The 10,269-nt window shown below is 44.4% G+C and overlaps 1 annotated feature.

The window, feature by feature from the left end:
• Positions 948 to 1,449: an enhancer, noted in NCBI's record as "H3K4me1 hESC enhancer chr13:111450737-111451238 (GRCh37/hg19 assembly coordinates)". NCBI's record gives its function as "activates a minimal SCP1, AML or CMV promoter by ChIP-STARR-seq in naive H9 embryonic stem cells {active_cell/tissue: H9 hESC(naive)}" and the evidence as "EXISTENCE:reporter gene assay evidence [ECO:0000049][PMID:30033119]".

Consider the following 10,269-nt stretch of genomic DNA (forward strand, 5'->3'; position numbering starts at 1 on the left):
TCACCAGCACTTGGCACTGTCAGTCTTTTTCATGTTAGTTTAGGGTTTATTGCATTGTTAGAGCTGTTGGGGTAGGGAAGCTTACAACAACGAGAATCATTGAAGAAACGTGAGTGATGCTCACCTTGACCTTGCTCAGGGTAATCGGCTTAGGAAATTGGCTTTGAGTATTTCTTGTCCTCCAGGCAGGAGAGAGGCTCTGCCAGCAGGGAGCAAGTTCCCGTGAAAACTGCATTTGTAATGCAAATGAATAAACTGGCATCACAGTTTCATACACCTGCCTCATGAACTTAGTTAACATGTGCTCGTCCTGAGAGATTAGCTGGCTCCTAGTGGGTTGCTGTGATCAAGTGTTTAAACTCATGCTGGTGAAAGCCACACATGGTGAGGAAGAACGCCTTTTTACACCACAGAACCCAGTCTACCCACTGCAGACTTACTTTACTCCTTATCTGGGATTTCTTTGTAGGGTATTATTCCTGCCTTATAGAAAAGGAAATACATATATTTAGGGAAGTCAACGGTAGAAAAAAAAATTGCTATCTTTTAATAAAAATACTGAATATATTAAACATATCCTATTGATGATCTTAATAATCTCAACAATCCAATGAAACAGTTATTCTAATTTTTTTTTAACAAATTAAAAAAAAAATCCCTGGAGCTCAGAGAGGTTACATAAGTTGCCAATGGTCTCACAGCTGGAAAGTGGCAGAGGCTGGATCCCAGCCCACCTGCACTTGCCTCCCAAGCCTGTTCTCTTCACTTGCCAGCCTCCCAAACTCACTTTCCTTTCTGCTCTTCCAAGCCCTATGGCCTCTTGCCATGGCGGGGATTCAGAGACTGGCTTGGGGGTCACACTAGAGCTTCTGCCAAGTCCTCTTCTAAGGACTAGGGAACCTCTCGGATAAGAGTGAGGTGGGTGCTGAGATGGAAAAACATTTGAAAGTGAGTCCAGAGTGGTTGCAAAACTGAAGGGGCCCAAAGTGGATTCGATGGACCCAGAGCCACACTAGGAGCGTTGAGGCTGGGACTTGGGTGGGGACGTCAGAGCCAGCCTAGGAGATTGGAGAAAGATGCAGCGCTGGGCCGTGTCTTGAGATCAGATTGCACTGGAACAAATACTAGTACGTTTCACGGTGGAGGGAAGAAAAGCATTTGTATGGATGTGGCCCAGCATAGAACAGAGGCTTAAAATGGAAGAGAGAAGAATCTGCGATCGGGCAGTCCTGCTGCAAATCCTCAGATAATGCTTGGGCATTCCCTTGTGGCCATCGGGATCCCATAGCCTCAGGTTCACCTTTGTCCTGAGATAAACAAAACCCTTGTTGGATAGTGTTTGTCGATTTCAAGCTGCCAAACGGCTGGCACTGAACTTGGAGTAGGGAGGCGGGGCTAACAGCTCTGGCCATCCTGGGAACTGTGGTTGGCGTGCCCTGGCGGAGTCTGGGTTCTCAGGCCTGTGGGTATCACCAAGTCCACCTCTCACTTCCCTGGGAACACTCTGCACCCACCAAAGTGCAGTGGACAAGTCAGCCCTGGCACGGGGAGAAGGCGGGAAGGAGGAAGCAAGTGCAGGAGCTGGTGGGGCAGAGTAAAGAGCCACAGACCTGGGTAAAGTCAGAATCCATCACGCACTAGCTGCACGGCCTGGCAACGAGAAATAACCAGTGTCCACCTGGGGGGCTGCTATAAAGATTAGAGCCCTCGGTGCGGTTTCCGGTGCATAGAGACACTCAGTAAGTGACAGCTGGTGGCATTTTTCTAGGCAGCTCTGGCAGGGGTCACCTGGAGGTCTATTGGGCAGTTTCCCTAGCCTCACAAGTCCCCTACACCACAGGCTGCCTGGAAGGTCCATAGAGAGGCCAGATGCAAAACGTTGCGTAGGAAGAATGGATTCTTCTGGGAATCGCAATTGCGTTGCCTCAATCCCTGGGTGGATGGGTCATGGGCTGGGGAGATGCATGAGAGGAAACTCTTGGCCCTGGGCATGTCCTGGGTCTGGACCTGAGGCACACATGGGAAGGTCACAGAGCTGTGCGCTTAAGATTCGCGCACTTCCTCTACTGTGTGGTATGTGTGCTGGCCCTCCGTTTAGAAAAACTAACTTAGCGCACTTTTCTCTCCCTGTTGGATGGACAAAGACCTCTTTCAGCTTGGGCACCGAGGAAGGGAAGCGTAGCGTCAGAACAGAGAGTGGATCACACTGTCGGGCTCAGCACGAAAGACTGACAGTCTGGGCACAGCACCCGGTCCTCCCTCCCAGCGCTGACTGCAATCCCGGCCAGGGCTGAGGAAACCGCAGGACCATGCGTGGATGGAAGGGTAGAAGCCTTCCTGTTTCCTGGCAGGTCAGGAGAAAGGGCAAGTTAGGAAAAAGGGCTGAGCTTCCAGTGTATGAGGCGCCACACTGGGTTTTCCAGTAAAAGGAAACCTAGTTGCTCAGCTCAGACTTTGAAAAATATTATTTGGTCCCTGAGTAGAAACAGATGTTGTTTCCTGTTACAGAAATGAGCTGTAGCTCTTCCACACACACACACTGGCAGCCCACGCATTTCGTTCTCCCTCCAGGATCCGATCCATGAGGCAAAAGCAAATGGAAAGAATTCCAACTTCATCTTCTCTGTCATTCGTCTTGTGAGAAGTGGGCAGAAAAGATGTTTTTCCTACTGAACTATATTTCATCATCGTTTCCCTTCCCTTCACCACAGCAGCTGGAAATGTAATGTCAGTGCCCTCCCAGACTCCTCTCCACCGAGCGTTCAGAGAGCGCAGCGGCTGTTCACGGAAGGACTTTCTTTTTCTTTTCTTTTTCTTTTTTGATATGGAGTCTGGCTCTGTCACCCAGGCTGGAGTGCAGTGGCACGATCTCAGCTCACTGCAACCTCTGCCTCCCGGGTTCAAGTGATTCTCCTGCCTCAGCCTCCTGAGTAGCTGGGATCACAGGCGTGCGCCACCACACCCGGCTAATTTTTGTGTTTTGTTTTAGTAGAGACAAGGTTTCACCATATTGATCAGGCTGGTCTCAAACTTCTGACCTCGTGATCCACCCGCCTCAGCCTCCGAAAGTGCTGGGATTATAGGCTTAAGCCACCGCGCCCAACCTCATGGAAGGACTTTCTTTGTCATTAGGTGTGAGGGGGTCAGGGCTGCTGGCTGATTGATTGACTGATTGTATCTCAGCTCCCACCCATCTAATTTGTCCAGTGTTGGAAAGTGGCATTTGCTTCTTTGCCCAGGCTAACAAGAGTTGCTGCTGGAAATACAGATGTGCAGATGCCAAGGCGATGCTTTCAGGCACCCGGGCGGCTCCCTGTGCAGTGGGCAGTGTCTGTCTGCAGTGCTTTGCTCACTCCTCGCCTCTCGGTCCCCTGCAATGGCAGCCCTCCTCCCACCTGCCAGGATGCCCCTCCCCTCTCCTTCAAGGTGTTCACGCACTCTCTCTCTCTCCCATTTTGTGGACATAGTTACACCTTCTAAAGGATTTTCACCCAGAATTGTATTTCTTTGACATTCTTATAAGCTGCCCCAGAAGACAACACAGGGCAAATAATAATGCTCTATCTGTTTTGACAGTTTGAGCTATTATTTGCCTTGATTTATGGGGAATTAGACCTGAGGTAATGGTTTTCTCAGATGTTGCTAAGCACAGCAGAGGGTGACAAGAGCATCCTAGGGTCTGTCTGGGTTCTCCAGCAGCTGGGAGAAGCAAAGTCGTGAAAAACCCTGCCCAGGGAGGCTGACAGGAGTGCCTCCGCCATGGCAGACTCCCCAGCCCGGGGCTTTTGGGTATAGCCTGTGCACTAGCGCTTGGCAGTCACTAGCTCACCCCAGTGTTCGACTGAGGGGATGCTACTCTGAAGTCACCAGCTACAGAGGGCAATGCACGGGACAAGCTTTGGAGCTTCAGTTTCCAGCAGGATCTTCTGCAGCGATGGAGAGGTTCTGCATCTGCTCTGTGCAACATGGTGGTCCTCAGGTTGGGACTGTGCTGTTGGGCACTCAAGATGTGGCCTGTGCAGATGCAGAACTGAATGCTAATTGTATTTATTTTCAATTAACTTACAGTCACATTTAAATAGCCACATGTGTCTGATGGCTACTTTATTGGACAGTACAGCTTTGGAGAATGGGAAGAAAATAATCTGAACTATTTACATTTATTTTCATCTAAGAAATGGAGAAATTAACTTTACCAATATGTGATGTTCAGAGCAACACTGGGACCCTTGCTGCATTTGTTTCTCAGTGGTCACTGCCATGTGGATGTGCAGGGGTCCTGGGGAAGGTCCCCAGCCAGAGAGGGGCAGTGGTGCCTTAGTGGCTTTTATCGGAATCTCATAAATAGCTGAGGTGTACTTGTTTTACTGGATTTACAAACTATCTGTTTTTAAAGAAAACTAATCCTTGCTAAGGGAGGCATTGACCTAAACAGAAACCTGCATACAATCAGCTTGACACTGTTTGTGAAGATGCAAACTTAAGCAAACAATGTTGGACGATAAAGATGGCCTTTCTACCCCTCCCACGAGCTGGTGTTGGCCGCTCTACAGGTTTCAACAGTGACAATCTCATCACGTCTGACAAGAAGGCTGCACAGATCACAATGACCAAGACTATTTGAGGTCTGGATTTACATGCCCAGTCGCCAAGGGTGACCCACACCGTAATTATATGCTGTGTCTTGAAATATTAACTAAACCGTCTCAAATCAAGATAAACAAGACAGTCAAGTACTAGACACTTGGAGATGGAGATGAACTCTTATCATTTGTAAGATCCTCACTACAGTACATTATAAAAATTCAAGAAGCATGTGATAAATTTCCAGAAGCCTCTTTTGAGTTTTCTGACTTAGTAGCAATTTTAGTCAAATACTATTGAGGAAACACTTCCAGCTGTGGTTCAAATTGCTGATACAAAGAAAATAACACAGTGGCAAACCAAAATGTATTTCCTTGTCATAAAATACTCTCGGAACGCATGTGGGAAACGTCACTGAAGACAGAAGGAAATAGGATAGAACAGGCTACATCGTGTGGGAGATTTGCCACACGCTTGGAGCAAAGTATAGATGTTCCCTTTTTAACTTCTTATTTTAAAAATAATTTCAGATTTACAGGAAAATTGCAGAAGGAGTACAGAGAGTTCCCACATACCCTTCAGCCAGTCCCCCTAATGTTAACACTTACATAACCACAGTACAGCAATTGAAACCAGGAAATTAACACTGACACCACACTATGAACAAATTTTCAAGCTTTATCTGAATTTCAACAGGTTCCCACTCAAGTCCTTTTCCAGTCGGACCCCATTCCGGATCCCACATGGTGTTTGGTTGTGGGTTTCCTTTGACTTCTCCAACTTGGACAGTTCTTCAGGTTCTCCTGGTCCTTCGTGGTGTTGGCACTTCTAAAGAGCACTGAGCAGGTGTTTTTAGGATGTCTCTCCCTTTGAGCTTGTCTGATTTCTTTCTCAGGGATAGACTGAGGTGGTGCAGGAACACGTGGGGGACATGTTGGGTCATTCTCAGCTCCTCTCTTGGAGGTGGCGGGTACATGAGGTTGATATGATCTCCTGGTGATGTTGAACTTGATCTCTGAGGTAAGGGCCTGTCTGGCAGATTTCTCCTATAAAGTTAATATTTTTCCTTTTGTAATTAATAAGTATCTTGTGGGGAAACACTTTGATACTGCAAATATCTTGTTTCTAATCAAGGCATATATATATATATATATATATATATATATTTATCTCCAATGTGTCTTGACTCATGATATTTGCTGTATTCTGTTTAAAAAATAAAATTTTAAAAAGATATATCTGTCCCTGTGTATCCGAAGAAAGATGTGCCATAGAACATATGTTCTTACCAGTATTTATTACAATAAAAAATTTTTGATGGAAAAACTATTAGCCTTATGGACTGAAGTTAACAAAACAATGAATCTGGGGTGAGGTCACAGTTGCTGCAAGACACGTGAAACTCACCCGTTGTGTGCTGCATGAAGTTACAACAAGCAGAAGTCAGCCAGGTGCCACAGATCACCAATGTATTGATTTAAAGATAACAAACAGACATTAAAATATAAAAGAATATTTATAATACTTTGTAATGAGGTGGAAATGACCATGAAAATATTTTGTACCACACAAAATTATTCTGGATAAATAGTAGCAGGGTAGTTAGAAAGGAGTTGAACTTAAAGATGAATTACACAGTTTTCTTTTACAAAAAACCCAGTTGTTCAAAATTTGTGACCTATCATTGGGAAAACAAATGTTTGTTAAAAGTATGTTTCTTGGCAAATGCAAAAAAAAAAAAAAAAAACCAGAATAAACACTGTTAATTTGTTCCTTCAAAATATGTGATTTAAAAAAATAATGAGTAAGAAAGTAACATCTTTTGGAAAAAAAACTTGAGAGAACCACTTGAAAGCAGATGGGCTAAAATTTTTATTGATGCTAAAAGTAATGGATGTCACCTGTGAAAATGTTCCTGTCTGCATACTTGAAAAAATAGCGATATCATTTTCTATCTTATCTAACAATCCTCCCAACAACGGTGAGTTTAAGTCCATTTGTTAAAAAACACAAGCATGCATTGCTTAATGATGGAAATACTTTCTGGGAAATGTGTCCTTAGGTGATTTTGTCACTGTGCAAATGACAGAGTACACTTACACAAACCTAGTGATACAGCTTACTGCACACCTAGTATGCCTATGGCTCCTAGGCCACGAACCTGAACAGGTGTGCAGTAGGCTGTGTGTCACTGCACTATGTATGTACCACACATAGTATGGATGGTACAGCCTATGGCTCCGAGGCTACAAACCTGTTTAGCATGTGACTGTATTGAATGCTGTAGACAACTGTAACACAATGGTAAGTGTGTATCTAGGCACACCTAAACATAGAAAAAGGAACAGGAAAAATACAGTATAATAATCTTACGGGACCACTGTGGTATATGTGGTCTGTTGTTGACCAGAACATCATTAGGTGGTACATGACCGTATTAAAATGTAAACCTTCTGATTAGTTTGCCAGAACAGCTAATTGATATCAGGGAAGATATTACCAGCTGAGTTTCAACAAAAAATGTTTACATAATTGGAAGATGAAATTGAAACATAAGTAACACGATTCAATAAGTCAATTATTCATTACTATCTGGATCTGTGCTTCTTTGAGAAGTACTTTAGATCAGTTTGACAGCCATTAAAATCAAGTACTGAAATTAACCGAACTGAGAGTCAGACCTTCAGATGCTGTATCAGAAAATGTTAAAGTAAGATTCTCAAAAATAGTGAGGTGTGTTCAATCGCACTGCTCTCCACTAAAAATATCATGAAGAACAGTAATATTTTAGTGAGCATAAAAGGTTTTAATATGACAAATAATATAAAATTATTTTAGAGTACTATTAGTTTAATCTTTAAATCATACTTTAGACATTTTATTGTTTTATAATATACATAATATGCCAGCATGGTGGTACGTATAGTTTATAGATACCTATGTATGCATTGGGTGGGTTTGCTCAAACATTTCACAGATAGGGGTGTAAGATTAAAAAAATGTTATAAATGACTGCACTGAAGGTGGTAAACCAAATACTATCTGACTGTACTGCAGAGTGAATTTTTACATGCGTTATCTCATTTAATTCTCACAACAATGAGATGCAGGTATTATTTTTCAGGCAATAGTTGTGCCTAGTTTTTAGTTCAGAAAACCCGAAATCTAGAGAAGTTAAAAAATGTATTTGTGTTTTCAAAGCAGTGAGGGATTCGCCGGGACTGGAAACCAAAGCTTTTGGCTCTTTTCATGTCATGGTTGTGACTAAGAATGGAGACTGTCCTCAGGGCTTCACGGTGTGTTCTAAAATGGACTTTCCACTTGACATGCAGCCTGAAATCGTAAAATCAGCAGTGACCCTTAAAGGAATACTTGCCAATGTGCCTTCACATGCTGGGTGTCCAACAGATAGAAGTTGGACCTGTAAATTTACATCGACAAATAAACAGCACACAATCCTCCTCTGAGCCATTCCCTAGAGTAGCAAGGCCGTTCTTCCTAGCATGTGAAGTAGTTTATTCCTCATGCAGGAGAGCATTATGAATCCTAATTACTGCTTCACATTTGTAAAGCACCTTCATATGGCTGGCTCATCTCATCACAGGTACTCTTAGATGGAACGGCGCTTACCCTCATTTTACGGAAAAGGAGACCCAGGCACAGAGAAGCTGACTGCTGCTGAGCTGGGCCAAGCCTAGAGCTCGCTGCTCCGATCTCAAGTCTGCCCACTGGATGGTGTATCTCCTGACCCAAGGTGCGGCAGACACCCAGTTACTTCTGCACAGCCACTTCAGAGAATCTCCTTCTGGGTGTAGTAGATTTGCCTCTGGGAGCCATTTCTTAGAATGCAGTTACGCTTTGGAAGAGATGGTGGCTATTATCTATTTATGCTGAAGTATTATTTAACCTATTAGGTTGCTTTCTAAACCATCAAATGAATAGAATTTTGTGCCAAAGAAAATGAGACAGGAGCCATGCCTATGATCTTGTGGGCAGAGAGGGAAAGTGGGTCAGGGCTCAGGGGCCTTGCAGGCATTTGGAGGGTGCAGCAGGGTTTAAAGTTCAAAAGTCACTCTTGGTATTTATACTAACCTAATGAAGGAGGAGAAGAGGTGATTCTTAGCCCCCATTTCACAGATAAATTAACTGAGGCTCAGAAGGGAAACTAATGTAACTTTCTTAAGGTCACACAACTCTTAAGAGGTCCCTACAAAACATTGAGTCTACTTTTTTTTTCCTTTTTATCTTTTGGAAACAGGGTCTTGCTCTGTCACCCAGGCTGGAGTGCAGCGGTGTGATCAACAGGTCATTGGAGCCTTGACCTCCTGGGCTCAGGGCATCTTCCTGCTTCAGCCTCCTGGGTACCTGGGATCACAGGTGCCTGTCAACACACCCAGCTAATTTTTGTATTTTTTTTTTGTAGAGACAGGGTCTCAGTATGTTGCCCAGGTTGGTCTCAAACTCCTAGTCTCAAGTGATCCCCCAGCCTCAGCCTCCCAAAGTGCTGGGATTATAGGCATGAGCTACTGGGTCCAGCCATCAGTCTACTTTTTCATTTCTGTTGCTAATACTTCACTTGGGTGGCTCTTACTAGGGGTAGTTCTGCCTCCTTGGAGCTGTTTGGTGTCTATGGAGACACTTTGGCCATCTTGATGATTGGCAGTGCTGCTGGTATCTAGGTAGGGTATCTGGTGGGCAGGGCTAGGAGTGATGGAGGTTTTAGAAAGTGCCAGGCATCCCCACACAGGAAGAATTGCTTTGCACCAGCCCTGCTTCCTAAAGGCCAGCTGGACATTCATGCGGAATGGCTTGACCTAGTGCTTGTGAGTTTTTGAGCCTAGAATGTAAAGCTGCACCCAGGTTCAGCGACAGACAAAACAGCAGGGCGCTCAGAGCCCCCCTGTCCAAGGTGCACAACCGGGGTTCAGACCTTCCCTATGAAGTGGTGCCAGGGTCCAAAATTCCCCTGGGAAGTGGCTGGAGGTCCCTTTCCAAACTCTCAGTGGTGCCTTGGGACTGCCTCTGCTTTGGAAGTATTTGTTCTTTATCTCTCTGCTCATATGCAAAAGAACTTATTAAAAAGCTGTAATGGAGTCTTGGGAAGTTTTTGTGATTGGATGCACCTGAGCTCATATCTTGGTTCTCCTACTTTCTTGGGCAAGTCACTAAACTACTCTAGATCTTGGTTTCTTTATTTGTAAAATAGAGTAAAATGCCCTTTTCATTTGGCCATCCAGAAAGTTAAATGAGATCACATGTGTGTTTAAAGCACATAGGCCTATTCCCATTTGATTCTTTCATTTCTTCTTCTCCCTTCTTTCTGATGAAGGAGGACTTTAGTTTGCTTCTGTAACTTAACCCATACTTAAACAGGAAGAGTATATTTAGCATTGAGAATATATTTTTTTCTGCAGCTGTCCTAGATTAAAATAAACAAAAATAAATAAATGAATGCCTACCATTCTGAGCAGCTCAGGGTGTATGTTTGAGACTGCTTTGAAACTCTAATACAAGCACAGGCATACCTGTCCTGGTGCTTTTGCACACAAGCCTCACACTGTCCAAGAGGACAGAGTGTGTGTGGCTCCCAAATGCATGTGGAGCCCCCTCCAGATCTGGGGAGGCTGCCCCATATGGTGCTGGACAGTGGCTGCACCAGGACCTGGAGGGGAACCTGAGACCTAG

Source organism: Homo sapiens, chromosome 13 (genome assembly GCF_000001405.40).
Source record: "Homo sapiens chromosome 13, GRCh38.p14 Primary Assembly".
NCBI lineage: Eukaryota > Metazoa > Chordata > Mammalia > Primates > Hominidae > Homo > Homo sapiens.